At 36.4% G+C, this 27246-nt stretch overlaps 1 protein-coding gene across 1 annotated transcript, besides 1 other annotated feature; it reads right to left on the bottom strand.

The window, feature by feature from the left end:
• Nucleotides 1-3885: 3885 nt before the first annotated feature.
• On the bottom strand, nucleotides 3886-27212 carry C10orf88 (chromosome 10 open reading frame 88). The gene is made up of 6 exons (NM_024942.4): nucleotides 27000-27212; nucleotides 25814-26017; nucleotides 24939-25011; nucleotides 21634-21840; nucleotides 10690-11144; nucleotides 3886-5646 (listed from the first exon to the last, which is right to left on the bottom strand). The coding sequence occupies exons 1-6, from the start codon at nucleotides 27161-27163 to the stop codon at nucleotides 5412-5414; spliced, it is 1338 nt and encodes a 445-aa protein (NP_079218.2). The 5' UTR covers nucleotides 27164-27212; the 3' UTR covers nucleotides 3886-5411.
• Nucleotides 26928-27007: a silencer, noted in NCBI's record as "silent region_2894". NCBI's record gives its function as "represses an Ori minimal core promoter by ATAC-STARR-seq in GM12878 lymphoblastoid cells {active_cell/tissue: GM12878}" and the evidence as "EXISTENCE:reporter gene assay evidence [ECO:0000049][PMID:35858748]".
• Nucleotides 27213-27246: the final 34 nt, after the last annotated feature.

Here is a 27246-nt window from a genome sequence, read left to right on the forward strand (position 1 = left end):
CACTGATGAATATTGATGCAAAAATTCTCAACGAAATACTAGCAAACTGACTTCAACAACACATTAAAAAGATTATTCATCATGACCAAGTGGGATTTATCCTACGAATACAAGGATGGCTCCATGCACTTAAATCAATCAATGTGATACATCATATCAACAAAATAAAAGACAAAAATCATATAATCATTTCAATTGATGCTGAAAAGGCATTTGATAAAATTCAACATTCCTTCATGATAAAAACACTTTAAAAAACTGAGTATAGAAGGAAAATACTTTGACACAATAAAAGCCAAATATGACAGACCCACAGCTAGTTATCATACTGAATGGGGAAAAACAGAATGCCTTTCCTCTAAGATCTGGAACACAACAAGGGTGCCTACTATCACTACTGTTATTCAACAATAATTGAATAGAAGTACTATTGAAGAGGTACTAGAATAGGTACTATAAGTCCTAACTAGAGTAATCAGACAAGAGAAAGAAATAAAGGGCATTCAAGTTGGAGAGGAAGAAATGAAATTATCCTTGTTTGCAGATGATACGATCTTATATTTGGAAAAAACCTAAAGACATCACCAAAAAACTACTAGAACTGAAAAACAAGTTAAGTTTTAGGATACAATATCAACATACAAAAATCAGTGGCATTTCTATATGCCAATAGTAAACAGTCTGAAAAAGAAATCAAGAAAGTAATCTGATTTATAATAGCTACAAATAAAATACCTAGGACTTACACATGGGCTGCAAGAGCCAGAGCTTCCTGATTCCCAGCCTGGGAGCAGAGAGGGATGCTCAAGCTCAGGCCAACCACGCCCTGCCCTGGACTGACTTCATCCACCAGAGTCGGCTGCCACTTCTTCAGAAAGTTCAAGAATAACTCACCCCTTACTTAGCATATAATTAGGCACAGGCATTAATATAGCTAGCCAGCAGTCCACAAGTGCCACTCTGCCTATGGGATAGCTCTGCTGGGTCTATGGAGCAGCCATTTCACTGTACATTGTTGCTCCCATAAATGTGCTGTCTTTCACTGTTGGCTCACTCTTGAATTTTTTATTATACTTTAAGTTTTAGGGTACATGTGCACAACATGCAGGTTATTTACATATGTATACATGTGCCATGTTGGTGTGCTGCACCCATTAACTCATCATTTAGCATTAGGTATATCTCCTAATGCTATCCCTCCCCCCTACCCCCACCCCACAACAGGCCCCAGTGTGTGAATTCTTTCAGCTGAAGCCAAGAACCCTCCCAAGCTAAGCCCCCATTTGGGATTTCACCTGTATCAGGATGATGAGGAGACTTCCACTCCAGTTTTCTTTCCAAGGCCCAGAGCCGATGATGTCACTCTCTTTCTTAAACATCATGCGTAGTTCTTCAGTGATTCCCTGGCACCAGGAGAAGCAGCTTTCAAAGTCTTCCCATGGTATTGTTTCAAAACTAGTTATGCACCACATAAGGATGCTCCAGTCAATGACGGACTGCATATATGATGGTGGTCTGTTGTGCCAAACCCCTATAGACTCCTGTGGAGATGGTACCAGGTTCAAGAGGCCTAAGAGACCCAGAGCCAGCAAATGAGACATGGGGTTTTTTTAAATGGAGAAATACTATCTTAACACAGAAGAATCCTTAGTTTTAAAGGTCAGGAATCTGAATTCTGACATTGCATGGGACAGAGGGAATGGCAAATGCACTCAGTGATAACTGTATGTTGGCTACATTGAGTCATTTTCTCCACATTACTTAATATCTGATACTGAATGTACTGAGCTTGATAGATGTTTTGTTTTTAAGGATAAGTCACAATTAAATAGAAACTGTTTAATAATTTATCTTAGGTGAAAATGATCCTGGTATACAAGAAGTCCTGTGATGCCTAGCTTTATATCATTATTTATATGGACTACGAAGAATTATAATTCTGGTTTATAACCAACTATTTTTATGTCAAAACAAAACAAAAAGAAAAAAGCCATGAGAAGACATGGAGGAAACTTAAATGCATATTGCTAAGTAAAAGGCCAAACTGAAAAGGCTACAGACCATGATTCCAACTATATGGAATTCAGGAAACAGGAAAAACATGGAGATGGTAAAGAGAGCAGTGGCTGCCAGAGGGATGAATAAGTGGAGCATAGAGGATTTTTAGGGCAGTGAAACTAGTCTATATGATACGATAATGGTGGATACATGTCATTATACATTTGTCCAAATCCATAGACTGTACAACACCAAGAGTGAATCCTAATATGAACTATAGACTTCAGGTGATAAAGATGTCAATGTAGGCTCGTCAATTGTAACAAATGTACCACTCTAGTGAGGATGTTGATAGTAGAGGAGGTTATGCACACGTAAGGATAGGGAATATATGAGAAATCTCTGTAACTTCTCTCAATTTTGCTATGAACCTAAAATGGCTTTTTAAGTCTTAAATCAAGAAATTAAACGTATTAACTTCTATAAACACATTCACTACAAAGACTTGCATAATGCATCTTTAAGTTTGAAAACAGTTGAACATTTGTGAATGTCAATATGCAAACATCCTAGTAAAATACTGTTTTCCAGTTTCAAAGAAGGACACTAATTTCCCTGTTAATCAAATGTTTTGACAACTATGAAAAATACTGACCCTTAATAAATGACCCTGCATGGCTCCTTAACTCTAACACCTTTTTTTCTGTAAAGACAGGGCCTCACTATGTTTACCCAGGCTGGACTCAAACTCCCTGCCTCAAGTGATCTTTCTGCCTCAGCCTCCCAAAGTGTTAAGATTATAAGCGTGAGCCACCATGTCCAGCCAGACTATGATACTTTAATTTCACAAGTTTTCTACCTCACACTGGGAAGCCAAACTAAATTAGCCACTTGAAATAGAAATACTTTTAGGGGCCGGGCGCAGTGGTTCACGCCTGTAACCCCAGCACTTTTGGGGGCTGAGGTGGGTGGATCATTTGAGGTCAGGAGTTCAAGACCAGATTGACCAACAGTATTTTGTACTAAAAATACAAAAATTAGCCAGGCATGGTGGTCTGCACCTGTAATCCCAGCTACTCGGGAGGCTGAGGTAGGAGAATTGCTTGAACCAGGAGGCAGAGGTTGAAGTGAGATGAGATCGCACCACTGCACTCCAGCCTGGGCTACAGAGTGAAACTCTGTCTCAAAATAAATAAATAAATAAATAAATAAAAACAAATACTTTCAGGGATATTTTGTCTTTGATTTTTAACATAAACACTAAGCTAATTCCAATAACAGTTCCTCTGTTATGCTGGCACTGTTCCAAATAACAAATGCAGAGTATGTAGAGAAATCACATATTTATCAAATTTCAAATTGCCAAATATTACTCTTTAAGATGATTGTGATCTTGCTTCCCAATTACTTCATCATCAGATACATGCAGAAGGAACTCAGAATTGGCCTTTGTACTGTCTGCCCCTAACTTCATTCATCATCCTTGCTTGGAATACAGTAATTGCTACCACATCATAGTGAGGCACTTTGTGAATCAATGAACAGACCACAACTACCAGAAGATGCAGGACTATTAACTAATGCAGGACTATTAACTAACAGATTCAAACTTGAGACAGACTTCTCAATGAGAACAGAGATACTATCTAATATATGTTATGAATGTCCCATAAATAATGGCCCTTCAAGGACTATCAAAAGGGATATGCAAATCCTGACATTACTATGGTCACAGTTTGTTCCATATACTGTGTCACCTTTGTAGTATGATAAAAATGAACAAACAACATATAAATTAGCCCTCCTTTTGTTACCAACAAAGCTGGTCCTCCAAAAGATGGGGTCTTTCCCTGATGGGTGTCACAAAGCCAATACGTGAAACCAAAAAAGAGTGACAAACACTGCAGGTTTTATTCAATCGCCACTGAATTGAGAAGCAGGAGTATGGCTCACAAATCAACTTTTCAACTAATGAGGAGTGAGGGGGTTAAAATATAATTTTTCTAATAAAGGTGTTTCACATTCAAGCAAAGGGAGGAATATTCCTGGATTTTTCAGAAATGGGCAGTGAACTTCCTAAAACCAGAGTGCTGCCTTCCTTTTTGTCCTTTCATGGCTTCTTCTGGTCACTGTCATGGCGATTGTCAACTGTCATGGAGCTAGCAGGAGCGTTATTTAGCACAGAAATAAGATTATAAAAAGGCTGAGGTCTTTTTAAAGTCGTTTGGTCAGCTATCGTGGTTGTAACCAGTCTCCTCTGGACTGGTTACAAAAGGAACTTTTCATCACAGGCATCCTGTTTCTTAAAGATAAGCAGAGTTAGGGCAGGGTAAAAATTCAGCTATGTCACGCAGGAATTACATCAGGTAACATTTTTAAAGAAGAAATTTGCCAAAATATTAAATGAGTATGAGATACCCTTTTTCTAAAAAATAAGACATTTGAAGTAAAGATTAGTTGAAATAAAACAGTTCTACTAACTAAAGACAAGTAGTTCCCAGAGCAGGTGCATTTATTTTTATATGCAAATATATCACCCTTCAATGCATATACAATAGTTATAAGGTCTGAAAACTAAGTCTATCAGAGAGAATTGCAATCCCTTGACTCATATGTGTTCATCCTTCCATGGAGAGCCTCATTATTTCATACAATAAACATGCCAGAAAAGGATTCTGGGGAAAAAACCTGTATCAGCTCAAAAGGAGAGGTTTTCTTAAACTGTCTGGGGTTACTGAGGTCAAACAAGATGACTGCATCTGTTTTACAGGAAAAATCAAATCCAAAGTACTAATCGTAACAAGGACTAGGCTAGTTCTGATGTTTACTTTCCTACCTACAGCTACTCTGTAATGAAACAAATAATATTAACAACCCCAGAGTGAACTAAGTTTACACATGCCAAATATCACATCTTATTCATTATCTCACACAAGCAATACAAAATGTAAACTGGTAATCTGAAGTAAAGGCTCCAAGTCTTAAGTATCCAATTTTCCAAGATAATTAGAAAAAGAAAAAAATCAAATACTCTTAAGCATTATTTTTCATACTTCTAAGACTATAAGATCTTTGTATAAATAAAAATTATACTTAAACACATATACAATACAAACTAATGAACTGTATTAGAAATCCTCAAGCATTTTAAACTCTTAACACAAATATACATACATTTCTGTAAGACTGAAAAATATCGTGAGCAAAAATAATTTGACTGTATCATATTAACTCAGTGTACAGTACTGGATTTAAAATAACAAGTGTAGTAAAAACGAAAACTGAGGTCACTTTGTGTAAGACAATGATCCCTCAAAGGACATTAAATACTTGCTTTTTATAAATATTTTTGGGTTTTGGCTTTGTAATAAATATGTAATAAATATCTGCAGTACACTGTTTATGTTGAGAGCTTATCTTTCTCCATTTGAAAGTCTTTCTCCAGAGTCATAATGTCTTAGAGGTATCCCAGTGGGCGGGGAGTTAGGATTTTGCAGCAAATCCAGTAACAAAGCAATCTTATCATCAATGTGCTCCTGGAGTTCATGTATTCGCTGATCAATGTAATCCATAAGTTTCTTTTCCATCAGTTCCATATTTTTAGAAAGAATCTTTTCCAAGTAGGAGCAAATAGATTGCTCTTCCATTCTAAAAATACATTTTTAAAAATGTGTAAATTTTCCCTAATAACAAAAACAACCAAGCTTATAAAACAAGCAGCCAACATATATTGCTGAGATTTGTCTCCACAACTGTGCTCTGTCTTCTTACAATGCATTTCTAGGTCCTAATACACATCCACAATAGGCAACCACAGCCCTAAATGCCCAACACATTATTAATTCTTTTTTAGTATACAATTGAACAGAAATGTAAAAGTGAAAAGGAACCCTCAAAGAGCAAGTCTTTAGAAAGGGTCTTTTTGATTTTGAGGTCCAAATCAAAACTGATCTGGCCCAATTTTCTTCTAAAGTCAACATGCATATTTTCAAATACTTCCCCAACCAACTCTATAAAGTTTTTCTTCCTTCATACAAACAACCTTACTAAACTACTAGAAGGTTCTTTTTTTTAACCTGGTATAAAAACACTTCAGAATTTAACTAGAATGGGCAAACTAACAAAATAAATAAAAAGCACACCAATTTCTAACGTTCACAATGAACATTAGAACAGTAAGTCTCAGGGCAGGCACGGTGGCTCACGCCTGTAATCCCAGCACTTTGGGAGGCTGAGGTGAGTGGATCACTTGAGGTCAGGAGTTCGAGACCAGCCTGGCCAACATGGTGAAACTCTTGTCTCTTACTAAAAGTACAAAAATTAGCTGGGTATGGTGGTGGGCGCCTGTAGTCCCAGCTACCTGGGAGGATTGCTTGAACCCGGGAGACAGAGGCTGCAGTGAGCTGAGATTGCGCAACTGCACTCCAGCCTGGGTGATAAGACTCCGTCTCAAAACAAGAACAGTAACTCTCAGAATGTGGTCCACAGAACCTTGGGGTCTCCATGATTCTTTTGGGAATTCACTGAGGTCAGAAGTATGTTTATACTAAGATGTTATTCGACTTTCTCATCCTCATACTCATGAATTTTCCAGAGGCTACAAAATCTATGTTATTGCCCTGATGACTAACAGAATCTGTAGTTGTGTATTCTTCTTTCCTAAAATTTCAAGGTAGTAGAGATTTAGTGTATAAATATATGCTTTTTCAGAGATTAATCCACTCTGTTCTCAGTATTCCTACTGTGCTCTTACTAGCTATATTTCACTATACATGCTATAATTCAATATACATGATAATGCAGCCAAAAGCTATTATGTATAGATTCATGTACATTTAAAATAATACTATTCTCAATAAAATTTTAAAAGAAAATCTGGCTTTTTTTCATAAAGACTGTTATTTATGTTAATATACAGTGGGTTTATTGTTATTTTTAAACAAATATTTTTATGTAGCCTACATAAGTTTATTGGAGTCCTCAATTAAGAGTGTAAAGACCAAAAGTCTGAGAGCCACTACTCTAGAATACACCAAAGACAGTTTTTAAGAAACTCTGTATTTTGAAATAATTATGGATTCACAGGAAGTTGCAAAGATATTAGTTTCTCAGTGCCCTTTATCCAATCCTCCCAATGGTCACATCTTATCTACCTATAATCCAATATCAAAACCAGGAAATTGATATTAATATGATGTGTGTGTATAGTTCTATGCCATTTTATCATATGTACACATATTTATTTAAACACCACCATAATCAAAAGGCAGAACCATTCTTTAACTGCAATGATCTCCTCCCTGCTACCCCTCTATTGTCATACCTACTCCCCTAAAGTCTTCTTTCCCTAATACCTGGTAACCATCAATATGTTGTTCATCTCTACAGTTTTATTATTTTGAAAATATTATAAAGTGAGATCATACAGTATGTGACCTTTTGAGATTCTCTTTTGTCACTCAGCAAAATGCCTTTGAGAGATGTCCAAGTTGTTTTTTACTGCTCATCAGCACTGCGTGATATGGAGGTACCATAGTTTAACCATTCACCTATTGCTAAGACATTTTAGTTGGGACTTCTGGGATATTACAAAGAAAGCTTTTATTAATAACTGTGTACAAGTTTCTGTGTGGACCTGAGCTTTCATTTCTCTGGGATGTCCAGGAGTATAATTGCTGGGTTGTACGGTAACTGTATGTTTAGTTTTTAAGATATTGCCAAAATATTTTTTAGAGTGACTGTACCATTTTATATTCCTACCAACAATGTATGAGAGATCCAGTTCCCAAACATCTTTGTCAGCATTTGGTATTGTTACCATTTTTAAATTTTAGCCATCCAAATATGTAGTGATATATTGTGGTTTTAATATGCATTTCCCTAATAGTCACTAAGTCAATGTTGATCAACTTTCCTTGTGCTTATTTGCTATTTGTATATCCTGTCTGTTGAAATGACTATTCTTTTGCCCATGGTTTAAATTGGATTGTTAGGTTTTATTTTTATTTGCTTTTAACATAGAGTTTTGAGAGTTCTTTATGTACTTCAGAGACAGGTCATTTGCTGGATTTGTAATTTGCAAAGAATTTCTCCCAGTCTGTATTTTAATTCCCCTAACAGTGTCTTTCATAAACAAAAGTTTTACATTTTGATGGGGCCCAATAAATCAGTTTTTTATTTTATGGATCACGCTTTTGATGTCATATCTGAGAACTCATTTCCTAGTCCTAGGTCCCTAGAGTTTCTCCTGTAGAAAAGCTTTATAGTTTTATATTTTACATTTTAATCTATAAGTAATTTTGTGTTAATTTTTGCATAAAGTATAAGATTTAAGTCACAATTCATTTTTTGCCTGTGGATATCCAACTGTTCCAGCACAGGTTAAAAAGACAATTCTACCTGTATTGAATTATTTTTGCATTGTCAAACGTCAGTTGGTGTACTTGTGCAGAGTTATTTCTGTGCTATCCATCTATAAGTCTATGCCTCTGACAATAACACAGTCTTGAATACTGTGGCTATGTCTTGAAATCAAGTAGTGATTTCTCTTACACTTTTTCAAAATTTTTTATAGTTCCTTTATTTTTCCATTTTAAAAAATTCTCCATTTCTAAATTTTAGAATCATCTCATTCATATTTATAAAAAATCATGCTCGATTTTTCATAGGAATTACATTAAATTTATATATCAACTAGGAGAGAATTGACGTTTTTACTATGCTGTGTCTTCAAATCCATGAATATGGTATGTCTCTCCAGTTTTTAGGGCTTTTCTTTTCCTTTGTCAGTATTTTATAATTTTCATTTCACATATCCTTATATATTTTGTTAGGTTTATAAATTTTTTCATATATTTTATAAGTATTTTTTATAGATTTACATATTTTACATATATTTACATGCATTTTTGTGTATTTTAATTTTGGGGGGCAATCTAGTTTGGTGTCAGGCTAATACTGACTTCACAGAATGAGTTGGAACATCTTCCCTCCTCTTCTAGTTTTTAAAAGCATGTAAAATTGATGTTCTTTAAATGTTCAGTGGAAACCTTCAGTGTAGCCATCTGGGCCTGGATATTTCTTTTTCATGAGCTTTCCAATCATTAATCAAATATTTTTAGTGGTTATAGGACTATTTTATTACTTATTTCATGTTGGCTGAGTTTGGTTGGTAGTTTGTGGTTTTGGGGAAATTAATCCATTTCTCCTAAGTTGTCAAATTTATGAGCATAAATTTGTTTGTAATATTCCCTCCCTTGTTATCTTTTAACGGCCTTAGGATCAGTAGTGACATCTCATTACATTCCGGATACTGATGATTGCATCTTCTTTTTATCTTTTGATAGTCTTGTTTGAAGTGTATCAATTTTATTGAAATTTTCAAAGAACTGGCTTTTGGCTTCATTGATTTTGTTTGCTTGTTTTCAGTTACACTGATTTCTGTTATTATTTCCTTCTTTCTGCTTGCTTTAAGATCAGTTTGCTTGGCTTTAAAATTGTAAATTCAATTTCTTTAATGGTTATAGGACTATTCAGATTATTTTATTTTGGTTGAGCTGTAGCTTTACGCTACTGATTTAAGAACAATCCTCTTTTCTAATGTAATCATTTAGTGCTATAAATATCCTTATCAATACTTCTTTAACTGCATCCCACAAATTTTGATGTGTTGTATTTTCATTCATTTCTGTGTAATAGGTTTAATTTCTGTCAAGACTTTTTCTTGAACCATAAATTTAAGAATGCTGTGTAATTCCCAAAAATCTGGAAATTTTGTTGTCTTTTATTGGTTTCTAGTTAGATTCATTTATGGTCAGAAAACACACATTGTATTATTTCAATCCTCTTGAATTTGGTCAGATTTGCTTTGTGACTCAAGATATAATCTATCTTTGCAAATCTTCCATAGATGCTTGAAAAAAGTGTATATTCTGCTATTGTTGGTAGAGTTCTCTATAAATGTCAACTCAATCCTGTTGGTTGGTGGTGGCGTTTAGTTACAAAATCATCCAACTACCTCATTTTCAAATAAAATCTCTTAGGCTAAAGAATACTAAACAGTGTGGCAACATGTTTAAGCCAAAACCACACCTAGAGTCCTGAATTCTAGTCTAGAACACCATTTTGACATACTATATCTACTTAAGCAATTAGGAACATAATACTTAGCTATCTCTTAATCAAATATGTACTGCCAAAATAAGGGATTAAGAGACTGGGGATAATAGCTTGTAAACTACAAGTGATTATTATCCTAATATAGTTTTTTAATAATCAGGAATTTGCCTAGACCAAACATAATCTTCAAGGAAAATGTCACAATGACATGCTTAACATACCCAGGCACAAAATAGTACAAATATATAAAAACAACATAAAGATTATAATTCCCACAGCTCCTTTCCATTCATGCAAATCACTTTCTATTCCAACTGTGAACTAATACTTGTGACCCTTCCACAAAATGCCTGGGAAGTGTGCAAAACCTCCAGTTATAGGGACTTCTTTCAAAGTAATCCATTCTACTCTGCAGTTATCCCCTTTAAGTGTATTAATGGTAAAATGTAAAAGTTGCTAAAATTTTCTCTGGAAACAAATTTTAGGCAGTACTCATTGAGACAAATCTGTTTCCTTTCATCTGATTCTTCCACCTACCAAATCGAAACTCGTATGTCTTAAAATAATACTTACCCAACACCAAGAATGCGTTCACCATGCTTGGTGATGTTTTCCTGACACTCGGTCTTATTTCCCACATGGAGATGATTAACTTGACTACATAAATTCTGGAGAAAAGGCAGCAACTCGGAGTTGGGTATATTTGAGTTGTCACTTACTTTCTTTGGTAAGAAAGAGGCCATTGCATTTTTAAGATCATTTTCAAGAAAGGAATGGTTTTGAGGCATAACTTTACACTCATCAAGCTTGGTAGAATTCTCTCCACCAGGCAGTTGTGTACTTTTATCAATGTAAGTTTGTAAGTTTTCAGTCACGTTCCCAGATGTCAATCCAGTTCTAAAAGGAAAAGGTGTGGAGGACGACTTGTTTAAGGTTCCTAAGGTAGATGAGGATTGTAGTCCAATCATATGCTTGTATCCAGAATTGCCCAACACCGACTGAAGCTGCTCTCCAATGGGAATACAATTCTAAACAAGGTAAACAAGTAAATGTTAATATTAATAACACTGACAGCTAACTTTTGGAGTAATTACTATGAGTCAGGCACTGTGCATTGTTTCATCCAATCCTCAAAACATCCTTATAAAGTAGGCCACTAATACTATCCCAATATTAAGCTGAGGAGACCAAGGCTAAAGGTACCTAGCCAAGGTAACCAGCCAGTAAGTGGCAGAACTGGAACATGAACGCAGGTCACTTAACTCCACAGTCATGACTTTCAATCATTTCATTGTAGTTTTTCCCAAAAGAAATTAAATAAATACTAGCATGAATAGTCAAACTGCACTGACACTAATGTTTCCACTACAAATGTCTCTTTATGATAATAAAATGTACTACTCTCAACTGAGTCACAAGAACCGGTAAGTTTCTTAAAATTCAATTATATCATTCCCAACTGTCAAAATACGGTAAGTTACTCACTTTCATCTAGTAATATCTTTTGCAATGAATTTTTCCTGGAAACTACACAGATAGGTATGCTATTTAAAGTTAGATGCTCTATGGGTACATTTGTGACATTTTCAATGACTGAAATTAGCTACTTCTGGCTGTGTTTGCTCTAAGAATTTCCAGGATAATGAGAGTTGTTTTGCAGCCTCAATTCAACTGGTTATGCAGTATTATTTCCTGAGAAGATTCTGGCTTACCTTGAAGGGATGATTACAGTATCTCCCTTTTATGCTCTTTAATTTTTCCATTGGATAAAAGAAAATATCTCTAGCCTAAGTCTTAAGGCATATGGCTCCACTCTAAATTCAAAACATAAAAGTCTACTATAGATTCTTATCAGGGGTTATCATCCCACACTTATTGCTGTTCAACAGCTGGTGAAACAGACTGAAAAAGCAATATGTAAATTAGCTGAAGAAACTCAGTTCATATACTTATAGATATTCTAAAAAGTTATTACTAGACTAAGCCGGAACAACATTAATTTATTCAACAAATATTTACCAGGAATCTACTCTGTGCTAGTATTGTTTCAAGCACTGGAAATACAGCAGCGAACAAAATAAATTAAAATCCCTGACCTCACAGAGCCTATATGACAGGGGAGCAAGGAGACACAAACTACAAAAGAAAAGAAGGAAAAAGGGGAAAGAAAAGAAAAAGAGAAAGTAAGGGAAAGAGAAAAGAAGTGAAGAAGGAAGAAGAGAAAAAAGTCAAGAAAAGAAAAGAAAGGAAAAAATGTATCATGAAATGGAGATGGTGATAAATACTTTAGGGAAAAATAAAGTGAGAAAGGAGAATAATAAGGGCCAGGGAAGCTGGGGGAAGATTTGTAATGTCATGTCCCCATCTAACTTTTTACCAAACTGCACTTTGGAAAAGTGCTCTTTATAGAGAAATGTTAACCTACTGTAAGTTTATCTTGTTTTATAAAATGCAAGTTTTGAATAAACTTGAATATTTAAATATTCCTGGAATAAGATGAATTATGTAAAATTATATTTATAAAATGTTAACATTGGACAACTCCCCATAAGCTCAAAGAAAGTTACTCAGTCATAACAGGAAAGCCCATTTATTTCTCTATGACATTTCAAAACAAAATGTACAGTGGAAAACTACATTAAGAGTAATAATATTTACACTACAGTCAATGTCAAAAGTATGGGTGAACATTAAGTAGGCAGAACATTTAAACAGAAAAATCTAAATGTAAAGGTATTTGCTATGTAAATTTTTCCTTTCTGACATATAATATTCTGTTTATAAGAATTCACTGATTATGAAAATTAGTCATTGGTTAAGAATGTAAAATAGTATAGCAGTGATGAAAAACAGTATGGAGGCTCCTCAAAAAATTAAAAATAGAACTACCATATGATCTAACAATCCCACTTCTGGGCATATATCCAAAATAACTGAAACTGGGATCTCAAAAAGATTATCTGCACTCCCATGTTCACTGCAGCAGTACTCACAACCGCCAAGATACAGAAACAACCTAAATGTCCATTGACTGATGTATTGATAAAGAAAATGAAATGAAATATCATTGAATGAATATCATACAATGAAATACCATTCAGCCTTTGAGAAGAAGGATATTTTGTCATGTGACAATATGATCAATCTGGAAGACATGCTAAGTGAAATAAGCCAGGCACAGAAGAATAAATAATGGATGATTCCATTAACATGACATATCTAAAATAGTTAAACTCAGAAACAGAGAGTAGAATGGTGGTTGCTAGGAGATGGGGGGAAGGAGAAATGAATTGCTATTCAATAGGTATAAAGTTACAGCTTTACAAGATGAATCTGTTTTAGAGATCTTCTGTACAACAGTGTCTATAGTTAACAACACCATATTGTACATTTAAAAATTTGTTAAGAGGGTAGATCTCATGTTAAGTATTCTTACCACAATTTAAAAAAGGTCACATTTTCTGAGATGAGAGCTCTTTAGATGATCTTTTCTCTTTGGAATAAATATCAAGAAATTCAGATATGTCTACATGCCACTATAGGAAATGAAGAAATCTCAGGTGCCTGGTAGCTAATCCTTTATTTCTCTTTATGTGAGCCTCCACTGTTAACATGCTATTAAAAATTTTGAAGAAACTTAAATATCCATGAATAGGTAACTGCATAATATTCATAAAACCATAGAAAGCTGTATTTATTGATATCCTTTCAAGTGAAAAATGTTCCTGAGCAACATATGCAGTATGAAAGCATTTAGAGAGAACTGTGTCCATATACTTACAAAGATATGTGTATGTGTATATGTATAACTACATATATTCTGTATACACACAATAGAGATTTCTGAAAAAATAATAGTTTATCTTTAAATATATTGTAGGATTTAGGAAAGTATGAATTTCCTATACCTTTTTGCTTTTTAATTTTTTTGTATCACCTTTAATAATCAGAAAGAAATTAAATAATAAAGTCATTTTTATTTTGAAGGAGAAAAAAGCAAGAGTATAACTCCTAAATAACTGAATATGTTTTCTTTGAGAAAATGGGTCATATCCTTTCATTCAGATAACATTAAATGACAATCATATGCTACACCCTTTGATATAGAATTCCTATTCAAGAATTCTAAATTGCTAAAGCAAAAGCAAATCAAAGCCAGCAAACTGAACTTCAAATAGAAGGAAATAAAAAATAATCTTAATACTTATTGAGAAATCACAAAGGTTTGGATTGCATTTCAGACTCACAAAACTTGGCGTGTTGAACTTTAATCAAACTTTCGAGAAAACAAGTAATTCCAAGGCACAGGTAAGCCAGAGAGAAGCCAAAACTTCTGAGGTCCTTCCTTTCCCCCAAGAGAAGTCCTGCCCAAACAACATGTGTGATCACACCACTTACACGGAAGGAGTTGATTTGGTCATGAAACATTCCCATTTTATGTGCAGAAAGTTACACAGCTTATATGACATTCTCTATGCCTTAGAATGTATAGATGCCTAGTTTGTCATCAATAAGCAATCCTAGAGAACCAGGTACATCCTGTAAGAATCACTCCATAAATAAGGACTTTTCTTACTAGGAAGGAAGTCTTCCATTAGCATGTTTAAAAGGACACAGAACTGTTTATCACCTTCTTTCTTCCCCAGGGTGTCCCAGAAATGTCCCTGCATTAGTGGTGAGAAGAAAGTAAGTTATTGTACAGTGTACATAGCAGTAACCCATGAGTGTTGGCTGAGGGTGGGGTGGCATGGGGGAGAGCCTTCTGTGTTGCTACATGCATAAAAAAACTCTACAAGGATACACGCCAAACTGTTAGCTGTGTATCCTCTGGGGTATAGAATGACAGCTGGAAAACATTTTTAATTTTTACCTAACACTTCTGTATTGGTTAAAATTCATGGCAAAGAAAAATTATTTATAAATAAAACTATAAAAATTTAAAGACACAGCCAAAATAAAAATATATCTAGTTTCATTTTTTCCTAGTGTCAAGATTTTAAAATAATCAGACAGTAAACTAATTAATATCCTCTAATCGTTACCAAAATTTGTTCACAAACAATTGCTTCCTTTTTAAAATCTTCCATTAAAAGAGTTATTATCATGTAATCCAGCACATAAACAGAACCAAAGACAAAAACCACATGATTATCTCAATAGATGCAGAAAAGGCCTTTGACAAAATTCAACAACCCTTCATGCTAAAAACTCTCAATAAATTAGGTATTGATAGGACATATCTCAAAATAATAAGAGCTATCTATGACAAACCCACAGCCAATATCATACTGAATGGACAAAAACTGGAAGCATTCCCTTTGAAAACTGGCACAAGATAGGGATGCCCTCTCTCACCACTCCTATTCAACATAGTGTTGGAAGTTCTGGCCAGGGCAATTAGGCAGGAGAAGGAAATAAAGGGTATTCAATTAGGAAAAGAGGAAGTCAAATTGTCCCTGTTTGCAGATGACATGATTGTATATCTAGAAAACCCCATCGTCTCAGCCCAAAATCTCCTTAAGCTGATAAGCAACTTCAGCAAAGTCTCAGGATACAAAATCAATGTACAAAAATCACAAGCATTCTTATACACTAACAACAGACAAACAGAGAGCCAAATCATGAGTGAACTCCCATTCACAATTGCTTCAAAGAGAATAAAATACCTAGGAATCCAGCTTACAAGGGATGTGAAGGACCTCTTCAAGGAGAACTACAAACCACTGCTCAAGGAAATAAAAGAGGATACAAACAAATGGAAGAACATTCCATGCTCATGGGTAGGAAGAATCAATATCGTGAAAATGGCCATACTGCCCAAGGTAATTTACAGATTCAATGCCATCCCCATCAAGCTACCAATGACTTTCTTCACAGAATTGGAAAAACTATTTTAAAGTTCATATGGAACCAAAAAAGAGCCCGCATCGCCAAGTCAATCCTAAGCCAAAAGAACAAAGCTGGAGGCATCACACTGCCTGACTTCAAACTATACTACAAGGCTACAGTAACCAAAACAGCATGGTACTGGTACCAAAACAGAGATATAGATCAATGGAACAGAACAGAGCCCTCAGAAATAACGCCGCATATCTACAACTATCTGATCTTTGACAAACCTGAGAAAAACAAGCAATGGGGAAAGGATTCCCTATTTAATAAATGGTGCTGGGAAAACTGGCTAGCCATATGTAGAAAGCTGAAACTGGATCCCTTCCTTACACCTTATACAAAAATCAACTCAAGATGGATTAAAGACTTAAACGTTAGACCTAAAACCATAAAAACCCTAGAAGAAAACCTAGGCATTACCATTCAGGACATAGGCATGGGCAAGGACTTCATGTCTAAAACACCAAAAGCAATGGCAACAAAAGCCAAAATTGACAAATGGGATCTAATTAAACTAAACAGCTTCTGCACAGCAAAAGAAACTACCATCAGAGTGAACAGGCAACCTACAGAATGGGAGAAAATTTTTGCAACCTACTCATCTGACAAAGGGCTAATATCCAGAATCTGCAATGAACTCAAACAAATTTACAAGAAAAAAACAAACAACCCCATCAAAAAGTAGGCAAAGGACATGAACAGACACTTCTCAAAAGAAGACATTTATGCAGCCAAAAAACACATGAAAAAATGCTCACCATCACTGGCCATCAGAGAAACGCAAATCAAAACCACAATGAGATACCATTTCACACCAGTTAGAATGGCAATCATTAAAAAGTCAGGAAACAGCAGGTGCTGGAGAGAATGTGGAGAAATAGGAACACTTTTACACTGTTGGTGGGACTGTAAACTAGTTCAACCATTGTGGAAGTCAGTGTGGCGATTCCTCAGGGATCTAGAACTAGAAATACCATTTGACCCAGCCATCCCATTACTGGGTATATACCCAAAGGATTATAAATCATGCTGCTCTAAAGACACATGCACACATATATTTATTGTGGCATTATTCACAATAGCAAAGACTTGGAACCAACCCAAATGTCCAACAATGATAGACTGGATTAAGAAAATGTGGCACATATACACCATGGAATACTATGCAGCCATAAAAAATGGTGAGTTCATGTCCTTTGTAGGGACATGGATGAAATTGGAAACCATCATTCTCAGTAAACTCTCACAAGAACAAAAAACCAAACACCGCATATTCTCACTCATAGGTGGGAATTGAACAATGAGAACACATGGACACAGGAAGGGGAACATCACACTCTGGGGACTGTTGTGGGGTGGGGGGAGGGGGGAGGGATAGCATTGGGAGATATACCTAATGCTAGATAACGAGTTAGTGGGTGCAGCGCACCAGCATGGCACATGTATACATATGTAACAAACCTGCACATTGTGCACATGTACCCTAAAACTTAAAGTATAATAATAATTAAAAAAAAGAGTTATTATCAAATCACAATGTACATAAAACTCACTTAGACATGACTGTTTAAAACACTGATTCCTGGACCCCACCCTCTGGGATTGAGTAGATAGTGAGGGCCAGGAATCTGCATTTTGAAGACCTTCCAAAGGATTCTGACACAGGTGTTCAATGGAGTGTACTTGAAAAAATACACTGCCCTAAATAAATTCTTAATAAAGCTCAAATCTCACAAGCTTTTCAAATTCCTTATTTATCTTCAATATTCCTTTACACAAGTATCTAATTTCCTCTTTATCTCTAAACTTGAAAAAAAAAAACCTGTGTGCACTTAGTAACTCCACATCCCAAATACCCAGTTACTACCTAATCCCTCACAATTTGGTTTACATCTCATCACTATTCAAACTTACTCCCTGAGGATCTCCAAGAAATAGCTGATCAATCCAATAGGTGTGTGTGTATATATATGTGTATATATATATATGTATATAGATATATGCGTGTATATATGTGTATATATATATGTATATAGATATATGCATGTATATATACGTATATATATATGTATGTATAGATAGATATATGTATGTGTCACATTACAATGTTTTGGTCCACAATGGACCCACATATGACAGTGGTCCCATAAGATTACAATGGAGCTAAAAAATTCCAGTCCCCAAGTGGTATCATAGTAACACATTACTCACATGTTTGTGGCAATGTTGGTGTAAACCAACCGATTGCACACTGCCAGTCATATAAAAGTATAGCATGTACAATTATGTATACTGTATACTACTTAGTAATAATAATCAATGACTATGTTGCTGGTTTATGTATTTACTATACCATATTTTTAGTCTTAAAGTATATTCCTTCTGCTTATATGTTTTAAAAGTTAACTGTAAAACCACCTCAGGCAGGTCCTTCAGGAGGTCTTCCAGAAGAAGGCATTATTATTATACAAGATGACAGCTCCATGGGTATTACTGTCCCTGAAGACCTTCCAGTGGGACAAGATATGGAGGTGGGAGACAGTGATACTTATGATCCTGACCCTCTGTAGGCCTAGGGTAATGTGTATGTTTGTGTCTTTGTTTTAAGCAAAAAAGTTTAAAACTTAAAAAAAAATTAAATACAAAAAAAGCTTAATAGAAAAAGGATATAAAGAAACCAAATATATTTGTACAGCTATACAATGAGTTTGTGTTTTAAGCTCTTTACTACAAAAGAGTCAAAAAGTTTTTTAAAATTTAAGTATATAAAGTTAAAAAGTTACGATAGGCTGGGCATGGTGGTTCACGCCTGTAATCCCACCCAGTACTTTGGGAGGCCAAGGCAGGTGATCACCTGAGAACCTGGAGTTCGAGACCAGCCTGGCCAACATGGTGAAACACCGTATCTACTAAAAATAAAAAAATTAGTCTGGTGTGGTGGCATGCGCCTGTAATCCAGCTACTCAGGGGCCTGAGGTAGGAGAATTGCTTGAACCCAGGAGGCAGAGGTTGCAGTGAGCTGAGATCATACCACTGCACTCCAGCCCAGATGACAGAGGAAGACTCTGTCGCAAAAAATAAAAAAAAAAAAGTTACAATAAGCTAAGCTTAATTTATTATTGAAAAATAAAAAATGTTTAAAGAAATTTAGCATAGCCTAAATGTGCAGTGTTTATAAAGTCTACAGTAGTGTACAGTAATGTTCTAGGCCTTCATATTCAGTTACTGACTTACCTAGAGTAACTTCTAGTCCTGCAAGTTCAGTTCATGGTAAGTGCCCTATACAGGCGTGCCATTTTTCATCTTGTATACTATATTTTTACAGTACCTCTTCTATGTTTAGATACACAAATCCTTACCATTATAACTGCCTAGAGTATTCTGTAAAGTAACATGCTATACAGGTTCGTAACCTAGGTACGTAGTAGGCTATATGATCTAGGATTCTGCAAGTACATACCATGATGGTTTCATAACCATGAAATCCCCTAATCACCTTTGTTCTCAGAACATATCCCCACTGTGAATTGATGCATGACTGTGTATAATACTTGGAGCCATAAACAAGACAGATAAGTCTTGTTTACATGAAGCTTGTCTTTTAGTGAGATAAACATGCAACCAATACAAAAACAACAACAAAGTGGTCAAAAGGGCACTGATGAAACTGATACGGATTTGGAGGTACATGCTACTTTACACTGGTTGGCTAAGAAAGGTGTCATTAAAGATGTAACATTAAAATGAGATCTGAATAAGAAAAATGCAGATACAGAAGTATCACAGGGAGGGAGTTCTGGCCACAGAGAACAGTTATGAGTGCAAAGGTCTGGAGGTGGGAACATATCTAGATATTTACGGAATACACATATCAGAATGTCTGGAGCAAGCTGCCCAAGGAAACATGGCAGGAGATGAGGTTGAGAAGGCAAGCAGGGCCTACATTTTAGAGATTAAGGTAAGGAATCAGGATTAATTCTAAGTACAAAGGGAGGCAAGCAGTCAGGGGGCTTTGCACAGGAGAAGGATGAGATCCAATTATCCTTTGAGGTCATTCTCGGTACATTGTGGAAAACAGATTGTAGCAGGACAGGTGGGCCAGTTAGGAATCTCCTGAGGTATCCAGGTGAGAACATGGTGTGGGAGGAAGAAAAGTATACATTTCCATCTTTTTTGAAATTCTTCTTTCTGTGGTTTCCATAATCTTCAGCTCTCCTGGTTCTCTTAACTCAGCCCATATTATAATACTGGTACTACATTAATATTTGTGAACCACACAACATCTACAAGGAGTTCTTTACTTGCATTACTTATTTTAAATTTTCACATCAATTCTGTGATCCTTACAGTGTTATCATTTAGATTTTGTACATGAGGAATTCATATTGAAAAAAATATTAATTAACTTGCCATAGGATGCAGAACTAAGAAGAGGCAGGACAAGAGTTTGAAGTCACTTTACCTGACATCAAATCGTTTCTCTTGCTACTCTATCACACTGCTGCCTTCTATGTTTCTGGTTCCTTTTTCCTCTCCCTTCACCACCCTCCGTCAGCTACTGTGGGTACACCCCTAAACTTCCCTTCCAGCCACTGAAGGTTCATTCCATTTCTCCTAATCCTCTGTTTCCAGATGTTTGCAACATCCTTCCAGGGAATGTCTTATTCACAGCTAAAAGTCAATGTTCCCAAAATTAAATTCCTTTTTCCTCCAAGCATCCTCCTCCTTTGGGCTGCATTTATATTATTAGTATCACCATCTTCAAAGCCTCAATTTCATGTTTAACTTGATTTTTCTATCATAATACCAATATTAAGTTAGCTGTCAAGTCCCAATGGCTCCATCATTTTAGCATCATTTAGCATCCAGCATTATGTTACTACGTCCAATCTTAGACCTCATTCACTCTCATCTGGACGAGGGGAATGACGTGCAGCTCATCTTCTCCTTGTAGTCTCACTTTCTTCAGATTCACCTTACACTTGACAGTGGCTTAAAATTTCTTGAAACATAAGTCAAAAACATCTACAAATTTAAACCAGCATCCCAAGCTGTTTATGATCTAGCTGAAATCTACTTTAAACTTTGCCTATTACTTTTTTGCTTCAGAGAAATGAACTACCATTCATTTCCCAGCTATATCAAATTCTTCTAGCATTGAAGATTTTATTCACCTTATTTTTTGTCTGAAATGGCCTTCTTCCAAATTTACTTGTCTAATCCCACCCTACATTTTAAAGGCCTAGATAAAATACCACTTCTTTTAGTGAGCCTTTCCTTAGTGTTTTCATCATTCCCCACTTACATGCTCCAGAATGTAAAAATTCTTAAAGACTACAGATTAACTGACCATCTTCGCACACTCAAAATTGCTCAAACCAGTGCCTTGTTTACTGCAAGAAAAAAATCTTGCTGAATGAATGAATGCATTCATAAAAAGTGTGAAAATGTGTAGTCAAAACACTTTGTAGAAGGGCAAATCTAACAAATGTTAACTTCTACAAAACTAAAAGATAACAGTTAAATCAGTATGAAAGAAAAATTTTAAGTCACTACATTTCTTTACTAAAAGCAATGGTTTTGAAATCATTAATGTTATCTGGAAAGAAATCCATTTCTACTTACCCGCTGCTGACACCTAACCATATCCATCAACTGCTGAGCTCCAGGAGATAACTTTGACCCCATGGACTCCATTATGGTTTGGACCTTGTCAAGGTCTATCCTTGATCCTAGAGCAGGAGAGCTTGTTGAAGAATTTGCAAAAACTGATCTCATGTGTACCACAACTTTACTGATGAACACACACTGCCTTTCGCCAAAGGAGAGCAACTATTATAAAACAAAAGTTCCAGAAAAGAATGATATTAAAAACAATAATCATTTAATGTAACTTCTTGGTATGACCTAAACAAGAGTGAAGTATTCAAGAATCTAAAAATTAACTTCAAGTATATTTTAAACTTTTCTCTAGAACAGCAATAGTCAGGAAAAATTCCAATTTATCATGAGGCTCAGATGAACTATTTAAATAAGAGTCCTTTCAAAAATTAAGACTTCATGTAAAATAACAAATGAGGTGATTAAATAAATGTTTACCTATTTAAAGAACTAAAAATAAACTATAGTAGTTCCTCTTTATCTGTGGAGAATGTGTTCTAAGACCTCCAGTGGCTCCCTGAAATTGCATATAGTACCAACCCCTATATTTTTTCCTATACATACATACCTATGATAAAGTTTAATTTATAAATTAGGTATAGTAAGAGTTTAACAATAGAGTAATTTTGACAACATAATAAAAGTTATGTGAATATGGTCTCCTCTCTCTAAATCTTACTGTGCAATACTTACCCTTCCTGTAATGACGTGACATGATAAAATGCCTACATAATGAGATGAAGTGAGGTGAATGACACAGGCATTGTAATACAGGATTAGGCTACTACTGACCTTCTGATGATACATTTGGCTAGTAAGTGGCTAATGGGCAGTAACATATACAGCAGGGACATACTAGACAAAAGGATGATTCATGTTCCAGACAGGACTGAGCAGGATGGCAGGAGATTCGATCACACTACGCTGAATGAAGCACAATTTAAAACTTATGAATTGTTTATTTCTGAAATTTTCCATTTAATATTTTTGGACCTCAGTTGACTGTGGGTAATGGAAACTGTGGAAAGTGAAACTGCAGATAAAGGAGAACTGCTATATACCAATCTGAGACCTTAACACACCACAACTTGCTACTTAACACAAAATAAGTCTGTCCAAATGCTCATGTAAAACGTTTACTGAAATAAGTAAAATGCAATCCTTTCAAATTCAGAACTATAAGAGAATATCAAAATGATGTAATATAGCTTGCTGGATTACACATAGAAATGATGACTTCAAGGGTGATTTTTCTAACTTGTTAAAGGACACTCAATTAGTAAAGAACCAGCTTGAAACCTATCTCTTCTGGCTTCTATCCCTGTAGTTTATCCAACATTTTATCCTGTCCATATTTCTGAAACGAGACATTTCATGTATGGTACAGACAACAGAGTAGCAAAATGGAAAGGGAACGGACTTTAGAATCAGACAAACCTAAGTTTAACTTACGACTCTGGTACTTAACAACCTGTGTGACCCTGGGCAAATGCTAAATCTGAGTCAGGATAAAAATGAGAGAAGACAGTAGCAATGATTTCACATAGTTGTTGCGAGGATTATATGTTAAAATTTCCAGTAGCTACCAGTAAGTAAGTGCTCAAAAACCTGTATAAGTAACCATTTTTTTATTTGAACTTCCATATACTATTGCCTCAGAACAAGCTTTCATATCAATCCTAGAGCTTCCCTGAAATAACCCTTTGCACTCCCATGTACCTCCATTGAACAGTTAAAAAAACATTCACCTTCAGAGAGACACACAGGTCCACATGTCAAACAAGGACATAGGTCAATACAGACTCATGATCCAAGAACTCTTAAGTGTTGAACCAAAGATGTGACTGTCTTCAACATTTTAAGGAAACACTCTTATTAACCTCCTACCTCTCAACCTCTCTATTATCCCCCTTTCTCTTTTTAACCCCATAGCCTTTTTCACCATTAAATATAGTATTTATTTTACTCATTGAGTCTCCTTATTGTCTGTCTTGCCCACTAGAATACAAGCAACATAAGTTCAGGCATTTCAGTTTATTTTCTTATTGCTAATTCCTAAATGACTGGTATAGTACCTGACATTAAGAGGCACTCAAATCTTTGTTGAATGAAGAAATTACTTTATTCAAATGGTTTTAGAAGCTATTTAATATATACTATCCAAAACAACATCTTGGGATAATCAGTCCTGTGAGTTTGCTATCTGCCTGTAAAAATCACTTATTTTTTCTTATTGTAAAAATAGGTTTCAATCTTCTATAAGTAATGATAATAAGTACAGAAGTTTAGAGATAAAAAGAATCCAAGAATTTTCTTCAGCTCTCTAATTTTACCCATGAGATAGGTCCAAAATCTGCCCAAGACTAATCCACTAGTCAGGACAGAACTGAATTAGCATTCAGGGCTTAAGACTTCCAATCCATTACCTTATCCCTAGACTCTGAAGACATAACTAACAGTTACCTTAACAATATTTTTCATGCTGAAGACAACAGTCCAATCCCTTTAACTTATTGGTTCTCTTGCTTGAAACTTCTCTAATTTTGTTCTTTTATAAATGGGTTTTTGCCATCACAGTTTATATAGTTTTTAAAAATGTTTTTTGCTCAATTTCCCAACACTTCAAAATACACAGCACTACCATATTAACAATACATTATCCAAGGTTAATAAATAGTCAAATTTTATTTTTATTATTTTTTTAGTGAGATGGGGTTTCACTCTGTTGCCCAGGTTGGTCTTGAACTCCTGGGCTTGAGCAATCCTCCCACCTCAGCCTCCTGAGTAACTGGGATTATAAACATGTACCACTGCACGTGGCTCATGGTTAAATTTTAAGAGAAAAAGTCTACTCACTGGTCACCGGGTGAAAAATTTAAAAAAAAAAAAATTTCTTAATTCAATGTTAAAAAGGGCTGATAATTTTTTAGAAAAGTAATTTCTTTGTACATGTTTACTAAGTATTTCTGAGCCTCATCTCTACTAAAAATTTAAAAAATTTGCCAGGCATGGTGGTGTATGCCTGTAGTCCCAGCTACTTGGGAGGCTGAGGTAGGAAGTTAGCTTGAGCTGGGAGATGACGTTGCAGTGAGCCATGATTGTCCCACTGCACTCCAGCCTGGGCAACAGAGCAAGATACTGTCTTGAAAAGAAAAAAAAAAGCAAGCAAGCAAGTTGGACTAATTGTATTACTAATCCAAAAGAAAACAAGCATACACAGAGTACAAAAACAACTTAGTTGTCAAATTAGTTTACAACTGACAACTTACCTTTATTTTACAAGCATGTGTGGAGGACTCCAATTTTAGATTTTTTTTATACAAAATGATCTTTTCATGTTCACTAAAAATAAAAAAGAATTAATTTTTTTTACTTACATATATTGTCACTTTTAATAGTTACACTTAAAAATAAATGTTTCCAGAACAATATTGAAATCCTAAGATTCAGTTTTCCTGGTGAGGCATGAAGAGTTGGGCTCCATAACTGAAGCACACTGCCTATGATTACATCTACCACTTACTAGGCTCAATGAGAAAATTACATTATATAACATATGTACAACCATGTAGCCAGACTGTATTTTAAAGCTCAATAAACACAGCAATTGTTTCCAACATGCAGGATATAAAACAGTTCATATTTTGTGTTAAAGACAGATTGGAGAAAAATCTTCGTAAGAAAAAAAATCACAAGTTGCGTTACAGGTTAATAAATAGGTTTATGTAGCACAGTCTTAGATCCCTCCACCATTTCTAATAGGCTTCCAAGAAGAAAATGTATTCAAAGTTCCAGACTGACTACCAAATTAACTTTCGGAAGACAGACTGCTGTGAGTTTAAGGAAAGAGACACACTTCTCAAAATTTCATTCTAATAAAACTCTTCCACTAACTAGCTATGACCTCCTACCAATTCACCTTGATTGTTAGTTCTAAATTTCAACATTTATAAAAATAACTAGGCTGATCTACACTGTCTTTTAAGATCTCTAAAGTTGTAAACTTCTATGCCTACTGGCACATTTTTATCTTCTCTCCCATAACATATGGTATCAATATCAGAGAATCAATAATTATTGCAAAAAGTGAGAAAAATCAAAACACTACTTCAGAAGAACACTTTCCCGTGTACAAGTCACACACCTGTCATCCAGGACAGTACAAACATTCTTGCCCCTACTGGTTCCACAGTACTCCTCTCCTAAGTACACTTCCATATTTCTTGCTGAACTTAAAATGCCAATAGAAGCGATTTCTTCACCTCCATCAGGGCCACACCTCAGGTAAAGGAAGCAGGGGTTTTCATCTTTGTTGTTGTGGTTTCTCTTCAAAATCACCAGATCCTGACTGAGAAGAAAATTGGTGAAAACATCACACAGTATAGTTCTCTGAACATGACTCTTCTTTTTTGAGACGGAGTCTGGCTCTGTCGCCCAGGCTGGAATGCAGTGGCTCCATCTCGGCTCACTGCACGCTCCGCCTTCCGGGTTCACGCCATTCTCCTGCCTCAGCCTCCCAAGCAGCTGGGACTACAGGCACCCGCCACCGCGCCCGGCTAATTTTTTGTATTTTTCGTAGAGACGGGGTTTCGCCGTGTTAGCCAGGATGGTCTTGATCTCCTGACGTCGTGATCCGCCCGCCTCGGCCTCCCAAAGTGCTGGGATTACAGGTGTGAGCCACCGTGCCCGGCCGGGGCTTCTTTCTTCTAACTCACTTCCACTTGCCCTTGAGGTCCAAGCACCTTCCCAAGCATCCAAGAAGCGCTCAACACAGAATTCATACGGAAATGAAGGTGTCACACATCAGGGCTTTCCCAAACTCTATTTTTTCCTCAATCAACATTCTACTCAATCCCCTGCAATTGACTCTCGGATAATTACATAAATCACTGGGCACCTACTGGGTGCAGGGCACAATGAAAGACAAAAGTGTATCTTTTTCGAAATTAAGTCGACAGCGATCATCTATAGCTGGACTTTTTACACAGCCTGTTTTGGTGGACAGGAGGTGTCTTGTTTGAGGGTAGAGGGGCGGACTGACTTTGACAGCAGCCCTGAGGGGCTATCACGCCTGATGGGGACGTTATATGAAATTCCGAGTCCGGGTCACCTTCCCCCTCTCACGCCCAGGAGCCTCGGCCCCTTCCCGGCCGGACCCACCCCCCTCCGCCCACCCCGGACGACCTCGCAGCTCCCCTCCCCAACTAGAGACCTGGTACCAACTGCTCTCCCGGATCCCGGGCTCAGACCCTCTCGCCTCCCCTCACAGCTCCCCTAGAAGCGCGGCAGTTGCCGAGCATAGCGACCCCGTCCCCGTCGGCCCGGCGCACCCTGGAGCAGGCGGTGCCAGCAGCTCCTCCCAGTCGAAGTCACCGGGGCCGAGACCGGCCCGGGTGAGGAGGAGGCTGTGGGTCAGGGCCCCGCCTGCAACATCCCAAGAAGAGGCCAGCGTGGGGCGGCGGGTGAGGCCCCCGTCCTCGGTCCGCGTCTCCATTCCGCCGCCTTCAGTCAGGCCAGCCCAGCCCCGGAACCTCTCTTCCAGTGCTTGAATTTCCGCCGGTACAGCGTGGAAATGGG

The sequence above is a fragment of the Homo sapiens genome, chromosome 10, assembly GCF_000001405.40.
Source record: "Homo sapiens chromosome 10, GRCh38.p14 Primary Assembly".
NCBI lineage: Eukaryota > Metazoa > Chordata > Mammalia > Primates > Hominidae > Homo > Homo sapiens.

Coding starts and splice junctions, on each gene's coding strand:
- C10orf88 (NM_024942.4), bottom strand. CDS start 27,163: ATGGAGACGCGGACCGAGGACGGGGGCCTCACCCGCCGCCCCACGCTG. Junction 26,018..26,999: donor CTGGCACCGCCTGCTCCAGG/GTGCGCCGGGCC, acceptor TTTTCTTCTCAG/TCAGGATCTGGTGATTTTGA. Junction 5,647..10,689: donor GAACGCATTCTTGGTGTTGG/GTAAGTATTATT, acceptor ATGTATTTTTAG/AATGGAAGAGCAATCTATTT.